At 51.7% G+C, this 18935-nt stretch overlaps 1 protein-coding gene across 2 annotated transcripts, besides 2 other annotated features; it reads left to right on the forward strand.

Moving 5' to 3' along the window:
* Positions 15-516: an enhancer, noted in NCBI's record as "H3K4me1 hESC enhancer chr22:29874167-29874668 (GRCh37/hg19 assembly coordinates)". NCBI's record gives its function as "activates a minimal SCP1, AML or CMV promoter by ChIP-STARR-seq in naive H9 embryonic stem cells {active_cell/tissue: H9 hESC(naive)}" and the evidence as "EXISTENCE:reporter gene assay evidence [ECO:0000049][PMID:30033119]".
* Positions 2055-13227, forward strand: NEFH (neurofilament heavy chain). 2 transcript variants are annotated; one of them, XM_011530200.3, is made up of 5 exons: positions 2055-2982; positions 5212-5411; positions 7560-7684; positions 10686-11129; positions 11418-13127. In XM_011530200.3, the coding sequence occupies exons 1-5, from the start codon at positions 2100-2102 to the stop codon at positions 12538-12540; spliced, it is 2775 nt and encodes a 924-aa protein (XP_011528502.1). In that variant the 5' UTR covers positions 2055-2099; the 3' UTR covers positions 12541-13127. The 2 variants fall into 2 exon arrangements, with proteins under 2 accessions (XP_011528502.1, NP_066554.2); NM_021076.4 differs by having other exon boundaries at positions 10686-13227.
* Positions 3077-3931: an enhancer, noted in NCBI's record as "NANOG-H3K27ac-H3K4me1 hESC enhancer chr22:29877229-29878083 (GRCh37/hg19 assembly coordinates)". NCBI's record gives its function as "activates a minimal SCP1, AML or CMV promoter by ChIP-STARR-seq in naive H9 embryonic stem cells {active_cell/tissue: H9 hESC(naive)}" and the evidence as "EXISTENCE:reporter gene assay evidence [ECO:0000049][PMID:30033119]".

Below are 18935 nucleotides of genomic sequence, written 5' to 3' on the forward strand. Positions count from 1 at the left end.
TCTCCTTCCAGTAAAAAGTGGTTAAAGGGACAGCGCCATCAATTTCCCAGCTCTGAGGGTCTGCTTAGAACTAGGGGGCTGGAAGGAGACAGAGGGCAAAGAGAAAGGAACTGGCAGAGGTCTTTCCTGGGGGATATGTCTGTTCTGTCCTGGGGATCCTGGAGCAGGAAAACCCGCGTAAAGTAGGGGTGTAGTGGGTGTTGAGATAACTGCCTGGGGGAGGTTCAGAGTGGAAGTACGAGTCTACAAACTCTCAAGGGCGTCTCAGGGCTCCCAGCATCCCCAGGGGTCCTTTCGCAGGGGTCCCTAAGCAGGAGGGGAACAGCCCAGAAAACACGGAACTGGACCCCCGACAGGAAGTCCAGGGAGGGGTCCCTGGCTCACTATGTGACCCTGCTGGATCACTTGCCTCCCCTCTCGGGTCCCCTCAGCACAGTGTCCCTCCCTTCCTTCCCCTAAAGTAAAAGCAGAGGGTTAATCTCTTTCCCCGCCCCACGCCCAACAAAGAGCAGGCCCTGTCCCCGGTGCTGAAGCGCCAGCCGCAGCACCACCCCCACTCCCACAGCATAAAACATGAGCCAAAACCAATAAAGAGCCAAATGTCACAGCCGTTGCAGGGCCCCCTAAATCCTGGGGACCCCTTCTTCTACCTGACATCCTATTGGGGTGAGGGACTTTGGTACTCAGAAAGCATCTCATCACTTCCCTGTAAGAGAGAAGGGATGCCGACTCAGGCGCCTGCTTGTCTGTTACAGGAGTGGGGGAAGAGAGGACAAGTTGAGGCTGAGAAGATGGGGAGGGGGAGGGAGAAAAGAGGACTTCCTAGTGTTGACAGAACGGCAAGATGTGGGTTCCCCATCCCCAGTTCAGCCAGAGACCCCTCAAAGTGGAACTTCCTGGGGCAGTCGGGGGTCAGGAGTTGGAGCTTGTCTCTGGGGCAAGACCCCTTCGTTGTACAGATGGAAAAACAAGGGTGGGAGGACACAGCTTGTCCAAGGTCATTCGACCAGCAAACTGCCTAGCTGACCCCAGTGTGCAGAAGCTGGCTCGGGTGACACCCATCATTTCCCCCCACCCCACACAGGGGCCAGCTCTCTCAACTTCATGCCCAAGCCCTCCTACGGTACCCCCACTGTAGGTTCTCTGCCCCTCAAACTCAGCCCAGCTTTCTCCTGCCTGTTCAGGGGACCTTCTGCCCGCTTCGCTGAGGGTCCGTCCCCTTTACTGGGGCTGGCAGCAGGGTCTCCCATCTCCTCTCTCGGGGGCCACTGCAGACTTTTTAGAGAACGCCTTGCCTCCCCCCAACCCCACCCATCCGGGGTTCCCTCTCTCCATCCTCTGCAGTGTCTCCCATACCCCCATTCAGGGTAGCCTTGCTATTCTCCCCAACTCCAGGTCCCCCTTCATCTATTCCGGGGCTGGCCGCGGAGTTTCCTGAGCGCTCTCCAAGTGGGTCCTCTAGATGTTAGGAGAACACTGTACCTCCCCCGGTCAGGGGTCTCCTGTCTCCGTTCTATGGAGCGTCCATGCTCCCATTCAGGACTGCCTTGCTCCCTCCTCTGTTCCGGGGCTGGCTGCACAGTCTCTGCACCCCCTATCCTGAAAGCCTCTCTTAACTATTTGGAAAGCCTCGTGTCCTGTCTCATACAGGGATCCCCTCATCCTAATGACTGCAATCTTCCATTGCTCCATCCCGAGGGCATCCTGCCCCTATTCCCATCAGGTTTCTCCTTGTCCTCTCCCTGTTTCAAGTCCCCTTTCTTATTCCGAACACACTCGCAGGCTCTTCCGACGCGCACCCGGGGGTCCTCACTGGCCCACTCCGGGAGTCCTCTGCCCGCTTCCCCGACCTCGAGGGTCTCCTCTGACGCAGCGTCGATTCCCCTTCCCTCCTCGGTCCCCTGCCCCGCCCCTCTCACTGCGGCGGAGCCGGTCGGCCGGGGGGCCGCAGGGGAGGAGGCGGAGAGGGCGGGGCCCTCCTCCCCACCCTCTCACTGCCAAGGGGTTGGACCCGGCCGCGGCGGCTATAAAAGGGCCGGCGCCCTGGTGCTGCCGCAGTGCCTCCCGCCCCGTCCCGGCCTCGCGCACCTGCTCAGGCCATGATGAGCTTCGGCGGCGCGGACGCGCTGCTGGGCGCCCCGTTCGCGCCGCTGCATGGCGGCGGCAGCCTCCACTACGCGCTAGCCCGAAAGGGTGGCGCAGGCGGGACGCGCTCCGCCGCTGGCTCCTCCAGCGGCTTCCACTCGTGGACACGGACGTCCGTGAGCTCCGTGTCCGCCTCGCCCAGCCGCTTCCGTGGCGCAGGCGCCGCCTCAAGCACCGACTCGCTGGACACGCTGAGCAACGGGCCGGAGGGCTGCATGGTGGCGGTGGCCACCTCACGCAGTGAGAAGGAGCAGCTGCAGGCGCTGAACGACCGCTTCGCCGGGTACATCGACAAGGTGCGGCAGCTGGAGGCGCACAACCGCAGCCTGGAGGGCGAGGCTGCGGCGCTGCGGCAGCAGCAGGCGGGCCGCTCCGCTATGGGCGAGCTGTACGAGCGCGAGGTCCGCGAGATGCGCGGCGCGGTGCTGCGCCTGGGCGCGGCGCGCGGTCAGCTACGCCTGGAGCAGGAGCACCTGCTCGAGGACATCGCGCACGTGCGCCAGCGCCTAGACGACGAGGCCCGGCAGCGAGAGGAGGCCGAGGCGGCGGCCCGCGCGCTGGCGCGCTTCGCGCAGGAGGCCGAGGCGGCGCGCGTGGACCTGCAGAAGAAGGCGCAGGCGCTGCAGGAGGAGTGCGGCTACCTGCGGCGCCACCACCAGGAAGAGGTGGGCGAGCTGCTCGGCCAGATCCAGGGCTCCGGCGCCGCGCAGGCGCAGATGCAGGCCGAGACGCGCGACGCCCTGAAGTGCGACGTGACGTCGGCGCTGCGCGAGATTCGCGCGCAGCTTGAAGGCCACGCGGTGCAGAGCACGCTGCAGTCCGAGGAGTGGTTCCGAGGTACGCAGGCGCGCGGGTGGGGGGAGGGGCGCCCCTGCTGACCCCGCAGCGAACTTTTGGGCTGCGTGACCCAAGGGGGCGCTGCCGGACTGCGCGTGGAGTGGCGCGCTGCTCACCTTCCCTCTGCAAAGTGCATGCCCCTAGTTAAATCGCAGTTTTACTCTGGGTCTCTTGTGGGACGCCCCAACTCTGGGTTGTCCTTCGGTTCCCCCTTTCCAGGTTCTTTACGGCTGTACTTCAACTCTGGGCCCCCTGCTGCTCTCTACCCCAAGCTTAGGCGACCCCACTCTGAGATCCCTCCCCCGTCAAGAAAAAAACAAGTTTCCTCTACAGGAAAAAAGTGGTGCAGGATTCTGGTCTGCAAGCGCTGGAGACTCTTAGCCCTTCTAAGTAGCAAGGCTTCCCCGCCAATGCTGCCATGCCCTCTCCTACACCCCGCAAGAAACTCTATTCCTCTCACCCCTACCAGGCTCCTTCCCACTACCTGCTCAGTGCTTAACGTTCCTACCTTAAATCTTCCACGTGGGGGTGGGTCAGGACCTTTTCGCATCCTTTCTTCCTAGAGGGAACCATTACTACAGTCAGTTGTTGCCTGTGGCGGAGGTGGCTGGTGGGCCCTTTCATGTTTTAATGTCCCCTTTCTCCTTTAGGGAAGCTGGGAGCCTCCCAAGTCTGCCCCTCCCCCAACTCCTTGCAGCCCTGAGTCAGCTAGATTGCGCTGCCCTGAGGCTGTGCCCAGCAGCTGCAGGGTGACCTTGACCAACACTTGCCCTCTCTGGTTTTCATTTCTTTTTGAGTTGAAAGAGGAGGGTAGATCAACTGGGCTGCTTAATCCGGGGAGTTCCATGATGTCTCACGAAACTGTCTGTAAAACTTTGCGTTGTTTTTGAGAGAGAGGGCAGAGGCTTCAGTGATTTTCCAAAAGCATCTGTGATCGACAATAGTTGAGAATCTCCAACCACCTGGATGGTTTCTAAGTCTTTGCCAGCACTAGCAGGGAAAGCTGGGATTTTGATGCATAGCTTTTTCTGTTCCTTTTCCACTCCTCTGCAGAGCAGAACCATCCCCTCCTCCATCTCCGCAGCAAGGCCCCTCCCTGCGCAAACCTCTTTTGGGTTTGCCAGTCGTAGGGGCAGACGTCCCAGGATTGTACTGGCCCACTCAGCTGGCTTCCTTCCTCCCCGCCAAGACTTGTGCCCTGAGTGCCACTATCTGGGGATTCAGGATGTTCACTTTTACGAGCTAAAGACCAGTCTCCAGACCTCCACTGCCTCTGGAAGGTTTCCTGGGAACCACGAGCGGGTTGCTGGCGGGGGCCGGGGTGTGGCTACCAATGCTCAGGGGCAATGCTCAGCTAGGTGGAGAAAGGGACAGGGGTTGGCACCCAGGCCACGGGCTCTGCACTGACCTTGGACTGTGCGCAGAAACCTGTAAGGAAGGGACCATGGCTACAAGGTGACCTGATTGCTCACGGTACCCTCATGCCTCCTAAAGGTCACAAGCTCATTAACTTGTTCAGCCACAAACCTGCAGCCTCCAGCTCAGTGTTAAGCCCCATGGGCCAGGTATCACATCTGAACCACCAGCACTGCCAGGCCCTTGCTAGGGAGCTGGACCAGGCATTAGGACCAGGGTTTCCTCTGCCCTGCAGGGTTTTTGGATCCCACACTGGGGGAGACAGAGCATGATCTTTGGGGATTTGAGTCCCAGCTCTGCCACTCACTAGCTGGGTGGCCTTGGGGAGTAGTCACTTGCCTTTATCTCACAGGACAGAGTGAGTCAAGCATACAGGATGGTGTCTGGCACACGCAGTAGGTCAATCCACATGTGTCACCTTCAAAATCTGGGCATTAGGCCGGGCGTGGTGGCTCACACCTGTAATTCCAGCTCTTTGGGAGGCCGAGGTGGGCGAATCATGAGGTCAGGAGTTCAAGACCGCCTGGCGAATGTGGCAAAACCCCATCTCTACTAAAAATACAAAAAATTAGCTGGGCGTAGTGGCAGGTGCCTGTAATCCCAGCTACTCGGGAGGCTGAGGCAGGAGAATCGCTTGAACCCAGGAGGCGGAGCTTGCAGCGAGCTGAGAGTGCACCACTGCCCTCCAGCCTGGGCGAGAGCGAGAATCCGTCTCAAAAAAAAAAAAAAAGAAAAAGAACAAAGAAAAAAATCTGGGCATTAGAACCCAGTCCAGGTGTGTCTAACCCTGTGCCCTGCTACCTTCTCCCCCAGTGAGGCTGGACCGACTGTCGGAGGCAGCCAAGGTGAACACAGACGCTATGCGCTCAGCGCAGGAGGAGATAACTGAGTACCGGCGTCAGCTGCAGGCCAGGACCACAGAGCTGGAGGCACTGAAAAGCACCAAGGACTCACTGGAGAGGCAGCGCTCTGAGCTGGAGGACCGTCATCAGGCCGACATTGCCTCCTACCAGGTGGGCAGGGGCAAGGCAGACAGCCAGACTGCCTTACCTGATTGGGTAGCCCTGGACAAGTTACTGTCCCTCACTGAGTGGGGTTGTAGTGGTTAAGATTGTGGCCCTTGGAGTCAGACATACCAGCACTTTCCAGCTGTGTGACCCTAGGAAAGTTATCTAATTCTCTGAATCTGAGTTCCTTTCCAGCCATGAAAAAAAAAAAAAAAAAAAAGCCTGCTTTGCAGAGCTGGAAAGATTAAAGAGATAGACTTTTATTTATTTATTTATTTATTTATTTATTTATTTATTTTGAGATGGAGTCTCACTCTGTTGCCCAGGCTGGAGTGCAGTGGCATGATCTCAGCTCACTGCAACCTCTGCCTCCTGGGCTCAAGAGATTCTCGTGCCTCAGCCTCCCGAGTAGCGGGGACTACAGGTGCATGCCACCACACCTGGCTAACTTTTGTATTTTTAGTATTGACAGGGTTTCACCATGTTGGCCAGGCTGGTCTCAAACTCCTGGGCTCAGGCAATCCTCCCACTTCAGCCTCCCAAAGTGCTGGGATTACAGGTGTGAGGCACCGTGCCTGGCCTAAAGAGATATACTTTAAATGAGATTAGTGTGAACTTGTGAATGAGCTCGGCAAGGTCTTCAACATTCGAATCTTTCTAGATTTGAATCCCAGCTCTGCCACTCACTAGGTTGGTCTTGGTCGCAGTGGACATTCTGTAAACAGCAACCAGTGTCTTGGGTGGCCAGGGGAAGACCTTAGCAGATTCCTTCTTTTAAAGATAACTGGCGGCTGGGCCTAGTGGCTCATGCCTGTAATCCCAGCACTTTAGGAGGCCAAGGCGGGTGGATCACTTGAGGTCAGGAGTTTGAGACCAGCCTGGCCAACATGGTGAAACCCTGTCTCTACTAAAAAGATACAAAAATTAACTGGGCATGGTGGTGCGTGCCTGTAATCCCAGCTACTTGGGAGGCTGAGACAGGAGAATCGCTTCAACTGAACCTGGGAGATGGGGGTTACAGTGAGCCGAGATCGTGCCACTGCACCCAGCCTGGGCGACAGAGCGACAGAGCGAGACTCTGTCTCAAGAAAATTTAAAAAAATTAAAAAAATTAGCTGGGTATGGTTGTGTGTGCCTACAGTCCTAGCTACTCAGAAGGCTGAGGCAGTCATCAATGCCTACCAAACCCTGACTGTGTGGTGGACACTGTGGCACACTGGAGAAAGACAGGAGCAAAAGCAGGCAAGGCCCTGCTCCCACTGGGTTTTTTTTTTTTTCTTTTTTGAGACACAGTCTCACGCTGTTGCCCAAGCCAGAATGTGACAGCGAGATCATAGCTCACTAAAGTCTTGTACTTCCGGGCTCAAGTAATCCTCCTCCCTCAGCTTCCTGAGTAGCTGGGACTATAGGTGCACATCACCATGCCCAGCTAATTATTTAATTGTTTTGTAGAAATGAGGTCTCACTGTGTTGCCCAGGCTGGTCTCAAACTCCTGGGCTGAAGTGATCCTCCTTCCTCAGCCTTCCAAAATGCTGGGATTACAGGCATGAACCACCAGAGTCTCGCTATGTCTCCCAGGCTGGAGTACAGTGGTATGATCTTGGCTCACTGTAACCTCCGACTCCTGGGTTCAAGCAATTCTCCTGTCTCAGCCTCCCAAGTAGCTGGGATTACAGGTATGTGCCACCACATCCCGCTAATTTTTGTATTTTTAGTAGAGACAGGGTTTTACCATGTTGGCCAGGCTAGTCTCAAACTCCTGACCTCAAGTGATCCACCCTCCTCAGCTTCCCAAAGTGTTGGGAATACAGGCTTGAGCCACCACTCCCGGCCTCACTGAGCACTTTCTAAGCTCAAGATCTCTAAATGTTATCCCATTATCCTGCCAGCCAAACCAGCAGGAACAACTGTTGACATCTGATGAATTTCATTTCAGACCTTCTCCAGTCTGAGGTCACTATACAGCAGGATTTTTGCTCCAGATTGTTCCACGTCCACTAATGAGGACCCTACAGCTCTGGCAGGGTTGGGGTTGGCCCCAGTGAGCCTGGCTGGATGGGCCTGCTCTGGGGTCGCACAGCCCGCCGCAGCTTCTCTGGTACTGAGGGCCAGACACTGGCTGGCATGTGATGTGTGTCACCTCTCCTTCCCAGGAAGCCATTCAGCAGCTGGACGCTGAGCTGAGGAACACCAAGTGGGAGATGGCCGCCCAGCTGCGAGAATACCAGGACCTGCTCAATGTCAAGATGGCTCTGGATATAGAGATAGCCGCTTACAGGTGAGACGCACAGGGGCTGTCACATGGTGAAGAAAGCTTGTGTTCCTGCGAGACGCTAAGCCTTGGGTTTCAAGACCCCGTTTAGGCAGCCTACCTGTCTTAGGGACAAAATTCTTTTTAAATTGCGGCAAAATAGACAAAACATACAATTTACCATTGAACCAATTTCTTTTATTTTTTATTTATTTTTTGAGACAGACTTACTGTGTTGCCCAGGTTGAAGTATGGTGGTGCGATCTCTGCCCACTGCAGCCTCTCCCTCCTGGGTTCAAGCGATTCCCATGCCTCAGCCTCCTGAGTAACTGGGATTACACGTGCCCGCCACCACGCCTGGCTAATTTTTATTTTTTTTTTTTTAGTAGAAACAGGGTTTCACCATGTTGGCCAGGCTGGTCTCAAACTCCTGAACTCAAGCCCTCTGCCCACCTCAGCCTCCCAAAGTCCTGGGATTACAGGCGAGAGCCACCATGACCAGCCCCATTCAACAATGTTAAGTAGGCAGTTCAGTGATATTAAGTACTTTCACATTACTGTGCAGCCATAACCACTGTCTGTCTCCAGAACTGTTTTCATCATCGCAAACTGAAACTCCATACCCAAGAAACCGTCATTATCATTCTCTCCTTCCTTCAGCCCCTGGCAGCCACTCTTTTACTCTGAGAGACATGAGTCTTTTTTTTTTTTTTTTTTTTTGAGATGGAATCTCACTCTGTTGCCCAGGCTGGAGTGCAGCAGCATTATCTCGGCTCACTGCAACCTCTGTGTCCTGAGTTCAAGTGATTCTCCTGCCTCAGCCTCCCGAGTAGCTGGGATTACAGGCACATGCCACCACACCCAGCTATTTTTTGTATTTTTAGTAGAGACTGGGTCTCGCTATGTTGGCCAGGCTGGTCTCGAACTCCTGACCTCAGGTGATCCGCCTACCTCGGCCTCCCAAAGTGCTGGGATTACAGGCGTGAGCCACTGTGCCCAGCCAATGAGTCTTGAGAGTGACTTACTTTCATTCTGAAATGATTTAGACGGTGGAAGTTCCTTATCCCCTCCCCAGATCCAGCCAGCCAGAGGCCTGCTTTGAAGGGAAAAGAGGTGCTTGAGTCAGGGACCTTTCAAACTCTGTCCTTTAGAGTTTCTTAGCTCTGCAAGCATTCATTTCTTGGGGATATAAAGTGGAGATGATAATAAGGGCAACCATGTCATAGGGTTGTCAGGAAGATGAGCTAATCCCATTCCCAAGCTAATCCAGGAAGCACAGGTACCACTGGGCTGCTACAGAGGGAACCCTTAGTCAGTGGCAGCCTTGAGAAATCCAGTCTGAGGAATAAGACCGGGGGGAGCAGGGCTAGGGAGCAGGACTGATTCCCTGAGGACTTGTCCCAGTTCTGACTGGTGACCTGTGGCTTCCTACCTCTTGGCTCTCGTCTGTAATCTTGCTACTCAAAGCATGGCACATGAACCAGCAGAATTGGCATCATTCAAGAGCTTATCAGAAAGATAGTCTCTTGGTTGGGTGTAGTGACTCATGCCTGTAATCCCAGCACTTTGGGAGACCAAGGCAGACAGATTGTTTCAGTTCAGAGACCAAGCTGGGCAGCATGGCAAAACCCCATCTCTACAAAAAATACAAAAAAAAAAAAAATAGCTGGGCATGGTGGCACATGCCTTTAGTCTCAGCTACTCAGGAGGCTGACGTGGGAGGATCACCTGAGCCTGGGAGTTGGAGGCTTCAGTGAGCTATGATCGTGCCACTGCACTCCAGCCTGTCATCACAGAGTGAGACACTGTCTCAAAAATAACAACAACACAACAACAACAAAAGACAGACGCTCAGCCCCTCCCCAGACCTGCTGAATCAGAATCTGCATTTTGATAAGATCCCCGGTCATCTGTGTGCTGCTAAATTTGGGAAGTACTAGTCTGAGGGGTAACCCCCACACTTACTCTGAGACAAGCATTCTGCCAAGTCTTTTCCATTCATTGTCTCACTGAAACAACCCTCTGACGTAGGGACTCTAATGACCCTCTTTTTCCAGTGAGGAAATTGAGGCTCAAAGAGTTGGTGTGTCTTGGCCAAGGTCACCCATCTAGTGAGGAGCAAAGCCAAGAGGAGAAACTGCGGCCTCTACCCTATTCCTGAAACTCAAAAGATGGTAATACAGGGTGATGAGAGACACTCGCGATTCAAATGGGAGCGTTCTAAGACCTCTTAAACCCAAATTTATAAAAGTAGAATTGTGGTCGGGTGCGGTGGCTCACACCTGTAATCCCAGCACTTTGGGAGGCCTAGGCGGGTGGATCGGCTGAGGTCAGGAGTTCGAGACCAGCCTGACCAATATGGTGAAACCCCCGTCTCTACTAAAAATACAAAAATTAACTGGACGTGGTGGCGTGCGCCTGTACTCCCAGCTACTCAGTAGGCTGAGACAGGAGAATTGCTTGAAGCTGGGGGAATTGCTTGAATCTGGGAGGCAGAGGTTGCAGTGAACTGAGATTGTACCACTGGACTCCAGCCTAGGTGACAGAGCAAGACTCCGTCTCAAAAAAAGGAAAAAAAAAAGTGGAATTGTTTGCTCAGGCTCCCAGGGTTCTCTTGAATAATATTTTAGTTTGAGGGACAATAAATTTAACTTTTGTTAAATTTATTTAGGAGCTTTCTCTTGAGGGCCATTTTTTATGGGGCAAAAGTTGTTTTATTTCAAAAGTTTCAGGCTTAGCTGTGTTGAAGAAGACCAGCTGTTCCAGCCTGGGCAACACAGTGAGACCCTCTCAAAAACAACAACATCAACAAAAAAAGACCAGTCCCACCGGGGTACACATTCTGGGTGGTCACTGGAATGATTTGCCAAGTGACTTTCTCTAGTCTCATAATGCCCACCATTCACATTCCTGTTCCACCAAAACCCATATCATTCGATGTCAGTGACCTTCAGGATAGTCTAGGAAGAACCCAAATAGTGAATTTGCCCTGAGTTTATACTAATGTGTTCCGTGATCCATCCTGCAGAAAACTCCTGGAAGGTGAAGAGTGTCGGATTGGCTTTGGCCCAATTCCTTTCTCGCTTCCAGAAGGACTCCCCAAAATTCCCTCTGTGTCCACTCACATAAAGGTGAAAAGCGAAGAGAAGATCAAAGTGGTGGAGAAGTCTGAGAAAGAAACTGTGATTGTGGAGGAACAGACAGAGGAGACCCAAGTGACTGAAGAAGTGACTGAAGAAGAGGAGAAAGAGGCCAAAGAGGAGGAGGGCAAGGAGGAAGAAGGGGGTGAAGAAGAGGAGGCAGAAGGGGGAGAAGAAGAAACAAAGTCTCCCCCAGCAGAAGAGGCTGCATCCCCAGAGAAGGAAGCCAAGTCACCAGTAAAGGAAGAGGCAAAGTCACCGGCTGAGGCCAAGTCCCCAGAGAAGGAGGAAGCAAAATCCCCAGCCGAAGTCAAGTCCCCTGAGAAGGCCAAGTCTCCAGCAAAGGAAGAGGCAAAGTCACCGCCTGAGGCCAAGTCCCCAGAGAAGGAGGAAGCAAAATCTCCAGCTGAGGTCAAGTCCCCCGAGAAGGCCAAGTCCCCAGCAAAGGAAGAGGCAAAGTCACCGGCTGAGGCCAAGTCTCCAGAGAAGGCCAAGTCCCCAGTGAAGGAAGAAGCAAAGTCACCGGCTGAGGCCAAGTCCCCAGTGAAGGAAGAAGCAAAATCTCCAGCTGAGGTCAAGTCCCCGGAAAAGGCCAAGTCTCCAACGAAGGAGGAAGCAAAGTCCCCTGAGAAGGCCAAGTCCCCAGAGAAGGAAGAGGCCAAGTCCCCTGAGAAGGCCAAGTCCCCAGTGAAGGCAGAAGCAAAGTCCCCTGAGAAGGCCAAGTCCCCAGTGAAGGCAGAAGCAAAGTCCCCTGAGAAGGCCAAGTCCCCAGTGAAGGAAGAAGCAAAGTCCCCTGAGAAGGCCAAGTCCCCAGTGAAGGAAGAAGCAAAGTCCCCTGAGAAGGCCAAGTCCCCAGTGAAGGAAGAAGCAAAGACCCCCGAGAAGGCCAAGTCCCCAGTGAAGGAAGAAGCTAAGTCCCCAGAGAAGGCCAAGTCCCCAGAGAAGGCCAAGACTCTTGATGTGAAGTCTCCAGAAGCCAAGACTCCAGCGAAGGAGGAAGCAAGGTCCCCTGCAGACAAATTCCCTGAAAAGGCCAAAAGCCCTGTCAAGGAGGAGGTCAAGTCCCCAGAGAAGGCGAAATCTCCCCTGAAGGAGGATGCCAAGGCCCCTGAGAAGGAGATCCCAAAAAAGGAAGAGGTGAAGTCCCCAGTGAAGGAGGAGGAGAAGCCCCAGGAGGTGAAAGTCAAAGAGCCCCCAAAGAAGGCAGAGGAAGAGAAAGCCCCTGCCACACCAAAAACAGAGGAGAAGAAGGACAGCAAGAAAGAGGAGGCACCCAAGAAGGAGGCTCCAAAGCCCAAGGTGGAGGAGAAGAAGGAACCTGCTGTCGAAAAGCCCAAAGAATCCAAAGTTGAAGCCAAGAAGGAAGAGGCTGAAGATAAGAAAAAAGTCCCCACCCCAGAGAAGGAGGCTCCTGCCAAGGTGGAGGTGAAGGAAGACGCTAAACCCAAAGAAAAGACAGAGGTAGCCAAGAAGGAACCAGATGATGCCAAGGCCAAGGAACCCAGCAAACCAGCAGAGAAGAAGGAGGCAGCACCGGAGAAAAAAGACACCAAGGAGGAGAAGGCCAAGAAGCCTGAGGAGAAACCCAAGACAGAGGCCAAAGCCAAGGAAGATGACAAGACCCTCTCAAAAGAGCCTAGCAAGCCTAAGGCAGAAAAGGCTGAAAAATCCTCCAGCACAGACCAAAAAGACAGCAAGCCTCCAGAGAAGGCCACAGAAGACAAGGCCGCCAAGGGGAAGTAAGGCAGGGAGAAAGGAACATCCGGAACAGCCAAAGAAACTCAGAAGAGTCCCGGAGCTCAAGGATCAGAGTAACACAATTTTCACTTTTTCTGTCTTTATGTAAGAAGAAACTGCTTAGATGACGGGGCCTCCTTCTTCAAACAGGAATTTCTGTTAGCAATATGTTAGCAAGAGAGGGCACTCCCAGGCCCCTGCCCCCAGGCCCTCCCCAGGCGATGGACAATTATGATAGCTTATGTAGCTGAATGTGATACATGCCGAATGCCACACGTAAACACTTGACTATAAAAACTGCCCCCCTCCTTTCCAAATAAGTGCATTTATTGCCTCTATGTGCAACTGACAGATGACCGCAATAATGAATGAGCAGTTAGAAATACATTATGCTTGAGATGTCTTAACCTATTCCCAAATGCCTTCTGTTTTCCAAAGGAGTGGTCAAGCCCTTGCCCAGAGCTCTCTATTCTGGAAGAGCGGTCCAGGTGGGGCCGGGGACTGGCCACTGAATTATGCCAGGGCGCACTTTCCACTGGAGTTCACTTTCAATTGCTTCTGTGCAATAAAACCAAGTGCTTATAAAATGAAAATGTTGCTGCTGTTATTCTCTTTCCCTGGGAAGGCTGGGGGCAGGGCAGGGGAGGTCTGGATGTGACACCCCAGACTGCATGGGACTGAGCAAGCATCAGTTCCCTCGTGGGTCTAGAGCGACTTGCATGGTCTCTCTAGTGCTGTTTCCTGGGCACAAACCATGTGCCAGGCAGTGTGCTAGGGGCTTTATTTTTATGATCTGTACAGGTGGCCTGGTATGTGGTTTCTCAGTGTGGACTGTGGACTGTCTTCAGCAGCATCACCTGGGAGTATTATAAAAATGCACGCTTGGCCGGGCGCGGTGGCTCACGCCTGTAATCCCAGCACTTTGGGAGGCCCAGGTAGGTGGATCACGAGGTCAGGAGATCGAGACCATCCTGGCTAACATGGTAAAACCCTGTCTCTACTAAAAATACAAAAAATTAGCCGGGCGTGGTGGTGGGCACCTGTAGTCCCAGCTACTCGGGAGGCTGAGGCAGGAGAATGGCGTGAACCTGGGAGGCGGAGCTTGCAGTGAGCGGAGATGGCGCCACTACACTCCAGCCTGGGCGACAGAGCAAGACTCCGTCTCAAAAAAATAAATAAATAAATAAAAATGCACGCTTGCCCAGGTGTGGTGGCTCACACCTGTAATCCCAGCTTTGGGAGGCCAGGGTGGGCATATCACAAGGTCAGGAGTTCAAGACCAGCCTGGCCAACATGATGAAACCCCATCTCTACTAAAAATACAAAAATTAGCCAGACATGGTGGCGTGCGCCTGTAGTTCCAGCTATTCAGGAGGCTGAGGCAGGGGAATCGCTTAAACTCGGGAGGTGGAGCTTGCAGTGAGCTGAGATCCAGCCTGGCGACAGAGTGAGACTGCGTCTCAAAAAAAAAAACAAAAAACAAACACTCCAGCAGGACATGATGGCTCATGCCAATGAGCCCAACACTTTGGGAGGCCAAAGTGGGAGGATCACTTGAGCCCAGGATTTTGAGATCAGCCTGGGCAACATAGACCCCATCTCTTAAAAAAAAGTTTTTTGTTTTTTGTTTTTTTTTTTTAATTAGCTGGAGCTGGGCATGGTGGCTTATGTCTGTAATCCTAGCACTTTGGGAGGCCAAGGCGGGTGGATCACTTGAGGTCAGGAGTTCGAGACCAGCTTGGCCAACATGGTGAAAGCCCATCTTTACTGAAAATACAAAAATTGGCTGGGCGTGGTGGCTCACGCCTGTAATCCCAGCACTTTGGGAGGCTGAGGCAGGCAGATCACTTGAGGTCAGGAGTTCGAGACCAGCCTGCCCAACATGGTGAAACCCCATCTCTACTAAAAAAACAAAAATTAGCTGGGTGTGGTGGTGCACGTCTGTAATCCCAGCTACTTGGGAGGCTGAGGCAGGAGAATCGCTTGAACCCAGAAGGGCAGAGATTGTAGTGAGCCAAGATTGTGTCACTGCACTCCAGCCTCGGTGGTAGAGAAAGACTCCATCTCAAAAAACAAAACAAAAAAGCTAACTGGGCATGGTGGCAGGTGCCTGTAATCCCAGCCACTCAGGAGGCTGAGGCATGAGAATTGCTTGAACCTGGGAGGCAGAGGTTGCGGTGAGCCGAGATTGTGCCGCTGCACTCCAGCCTGGGTGATTGATAGAGAAAAAAAAGAAAAAGAAAATAAAATTAGCTGGGTATGGGGCACACATCTGTGGTCCCAGCTACTGGGGGGCTGAGGTGGGAGGATTGTTTTAACCCAGGAGTTCAAGGCTGTAGTGAGCTATGATCACACACTGCACTCCAGTCTGGGTGAAAGGGTAAGACCTTTTCTCCAAAAAACAGAGAGAGAAGGGCTTTGATTGATTGGCTCTTGATTATCAAACATGCCCAAGGACTCTATGAAAACCTAAGCATTAATTTTCTGAGCAGTTCTGCCCTAGGGAAATCAGACGGACCTCCACAGGCCCAGGCACACAGTATAGCATCTGAATATCAAACTGGGATCTAAGACCCAGGAAATTCCCATGTGTCTTGTCTGAAAAAAGTTACAGTTGGTTGAGAACCTCAAAATACTTATAATGATGACAGTACCATTTGTTGAGATAACCATGTTATGTTTTTGTTTTTGTTTTTGAGACAGAGTCTTGCTCTGTCACCCAGGCTGGAGTGCAGTGGCGCCATCTCGGCTCACTACAACCTCCGCCTCCTGGGTTCAAGCAATTCTCCTGCCTCAGCCTCCCAAGTAGCTGGGACTACAGGCGCATGCCACCACGCCTGGCTAATTTTTGTATTCTTTAGCAGAGACAGGGTTTTGCCATGTTGGCCAGGCTGGTCTCAAACTCCTGACCTCAGGTGATCCACCTGCCTCAGCCTCCCAAAGTGCTGGGATTACAGGTGTGAGCCACCATGTCTGGCAGAGATAATCATGTTTTTACATAAATTCTCTCCAATCCACATGGGCATTTTTCAATGTAGAGATTCTGATGCCTATTTTAGTGGTGAGAAAACAGGCGAGGTGAGTTGCCCAGAGCCACAAAGCTAGTAAATGATAGTGCCAGAATCTGAATCCAAAACTTAACTCCAGAGTCCATGTTTTCTGTACTACCATGCCATAGAATCCTGAGCAAGCTGCATTGGTTTAATTTTGGTCATCAAATAACTGCTATGTCAGGTGTCAACTGTCCTAATTCACCTGGGATATAGGAGTTTCCCAAGATATAGGACTTTTAGTGTTAAAACCAGGAAAGTCCTGGGCAAATGGGGATGAATTGTTCCCCCTAATGTTTGGGCAGCCATTCTAGCACATTTCAGAATATTGCATATGACAAAACCTAATGGCAACATTCAAGGGCTGAAGTGAAGTCACTGGACTCAGTCACTTCTTGGCTCTCAGGTCTGTTTCTCTCAGTATTGGCTTTTGTGATAGGCTTCCTCTAAAATGGCTCCAATGGCCAAGTGCCTATTATCCCAGCACTTTGGGAAGCTGAGGCAGGAGGATTGTGTGAGGCCAGGAGTTTGAATCCAGCCTGGGCAACAAAGCCCCTGTCTACCAAAAATTAAACAAACTACTGGGCATGGTGGTGCATGCCTGTAGTTTTAGCTACTTGGGAGGCTGAGGCAGGAGGATTGCTTGAGCCCAGGAGTTCAAGGTTATAGTGAGCTATGATTGCTACCACTGTACTCCAGCCTGGGTGACAGAGTAAAACCCTGTCTCTAAGAGATAAATTAAAAATTAATAAAATTGTTCCCAACAATTCCCACCTCCTGTTATTCATGCTGTTTTGTAATCCCCTCCCCTTCAATGTAGGCCTGACCTAGTAATTCGTTCTAATGACTAGCATATGGCAAAGTGGTGGAATGTCATTTCCGTGAGTAGTTTACAAGAAGATTCTGGCTTCTGTTTTGCTTGCTCTCACTCTGATGGAAGCCAGCTACGATGTTGAGAGTTGCCCTAAGGAGAGGCCTACATGGTAAGGAACTGAAGGAAGCCTTTGGCCAATAGCCAGTAAGGAACTGAGGTCCTAAATTCAGTGAGAAACTGAATTCTACTAATAACCACATGAGTGAGAATGGAAGCAGATCCTCCCCAGTTGAGCCATCAAATGAGACTGCAGCCCCATCCAACACCCTGATTGCAGCCTTATGAGAGGCTTTAAGGAAGAGCCACCCAGCTAAGCTGTGCCTGGATATAAATGTTTGTTGTTTGAAGTCACCAAGTTTTCGGGTAATTTGTTACACAGAAATAGATGTAATGAAGCTTCTCTTTCAGAAAGGCCTTCTCTTCATGGAGATCCTCAGCTATGATAGGCTTATATTATTCCAGGTACAAATCACAGGAAAGAGATTCTGTTCCTACCAGTTCAAATCAAAGTGTGAGAAGTGAGTCTCAGTGGAAGACTGGGTCATGCACCCATCCTGAAATTAATTACTGTGGCCAGGGAGGATGGAACACACTGACTGGACCTGCTGGGTCACATACCCAACTCTAGATCCAGGGATGGAGTCAGCCCATCTGAACCTATCTCAACCACATAAACTAGACCTGACATTTCAGAACCCAAGGATAGAGAGAATCCTAAGAGCTTCCAGAGAGAGAGAAGAAAAAGCAGGGTCAAGAATCAAATGGCACAGCCAGGAGCAGTGGCTCACGCCTGTAATCCCAGCACTTTGGGAGGCCAAGGCAGGCAGATCACGAGGTCAGGAGATCGAGACCATCCTGGCTAACACGGTGAAACCCCATCTCTACTAAAAATACAAAAAATTAGCCAGGCGTGGTGGTGGGCGCCTGTGGTCCCAGCTATTCGGGAGGCTGAGGCAGGAGAATGGCGTGAACCTGGGAGGCGGAGCTTGCAGTGAGCCGAGATCATGCCACTGCACTCCAGCCTGGGCGACAAAGCGAGACTCCGTCTCAAAAAAAAAAAAAAAAAAAAAAAAAAACAGAATCAAAATGGCCCCAAACTTCTCAGCAGCAATGATGGACACTGCTTAGAAGTCTATACTGATAAATCAAGCATGAGGGTAGAAAAAGGACAATTTCAGGCTTACGAAGTCTCAAAAAATTACTTTCCATAAATTACTGGAGGACATGCTTCAACAAAAAGTGAGCATAAGCCAGGAAATAGAAACTCTGGGAATACAGAAAACAGGGGCTACACAAAGATGAGAGAAGGGACTCCTTAGGTTGATGACAAAGAGAAATTGATGGACAATAGCTGTGTAGCCTCCATCCAGATTGGAGTGAGTCTGGGGGAAGAGGGGGAGTTCTGAGGCACAAAAAAAAAAAAAAAAAAAAAACCTGACAAATTATTTGACATGAATGACCGTGGGTAAAATTGAATTGAAAGTCTTTTACTGGGCCAGGTGCAGTGGCTCATGCCTGTAATCCCAACACTTTGGGAGGCTGAGGCAGGTGAATCACCTGAGGTCAGGAGTTCGAGACCAGCCTGGCCAACATGGTGAAACCCTGTCTCTACTAAAAATACAAAAATTAGCCAGGCATGGTGGTGCGCACCTGTAGTCCCAGCTGCTTGGGAGGCTGAGGCAGGGAGAATCACTTGAACCCGGGACAGGGAGGTTTCAGTGAGCCAAGATTGCACCACTGCACTCCAGCCTGGGCAACAGAGCAAGACTCCATCTGGAAAAAAAAAAAAAGAAAAGAAAGTCTTTTATTGAACTACTGGAGACTGCGGGAATATTTAGTCAATTTCAAAGACAAAACAAGTAATAAAAGGGAGGAAAACATTAACTCCAGGAGAAGTGAAAAATTGTGTGTAAGAAGAAGTTGTAATTATTATATACTAGCCAATTCAACAGGTAACAATATTTACCTAATAGTAATAAAAGCAATGAATATGGATTATACCAGAAAGTAAGCTAAATAAATGGGAAAGATGGGGAAAGGGGCAAAGGGATGTGTGACTGATCAAAAATAGTCATCTCAGCTGGATGTGGTGGCTCATGCCTATAATCCCAGCACTTTGGGAGACTGAGGTGGGCAGAATGCTTGAGCCCAGGAGTTTGAGACCAGCCCGGGCAACATAGCGAGACCTCATCTCTACTAAAAAAAAAAAAAAAAAAAATTAGCTGGCCATGGTGGCCTGTGCCTGTAGTCCCAGAGGCTAAGATGGGAGGATAGCCTGAGTCTGAGAGTTTGAAGCTGCAGCAAACTATGATGAAGCCACTGCACTCCACCCTGGGCAACAGAGGGAGACTCTGTCTCAAATAAAATAAAATAAAGCTTCCCTGGGTGACCCTTACTTAGAAAAACCTACATTCATTCATTCATTCATTTATCGAGATAGAGTCTTGCTCTGTCACCCAGGTTGGAGTGCAGTGGCA

The sequence above is a fragment of the Homo sapiens genome, chromosome 22 (genome assembly GCF_000001405.40).
Source record: "Homo sapiens chromosome 22, GRCh38.p14 Primary Assembly".
Classification (NCBI taxonomy): domain Eukaryota; kingdom Metazoa; phylum Chordata; class Mammalia; order Primates; family Hominidae; genus Homo; species Homo sapiens.

Excerpts from the sequence above, each read along its gene's own strand:
- NEFH (NM_021076.4), top strand. The coding sequence starts at position 2,100 with ATGATGAGCTTCGGCGGCGCGGACGCGCTGCTGGGCGCCCCGTTCGCG. Across the intron at positions 2,983-5,211 it reads GTCCGAGGAGTGGTTCCGAG|TGAGGCTGGACCGACTGTCG; the intron begins GTACGCAGGCGC and ends CTTCTCCCCCAG. Across the intron at positions 7,685-10,685 it reads ATAGAGATAGCCGCTTACAG|AAAACTCCTGGAAGGTGAAG; the intron begins GTGAGACGCACA and ends TCCATCCTGCAG.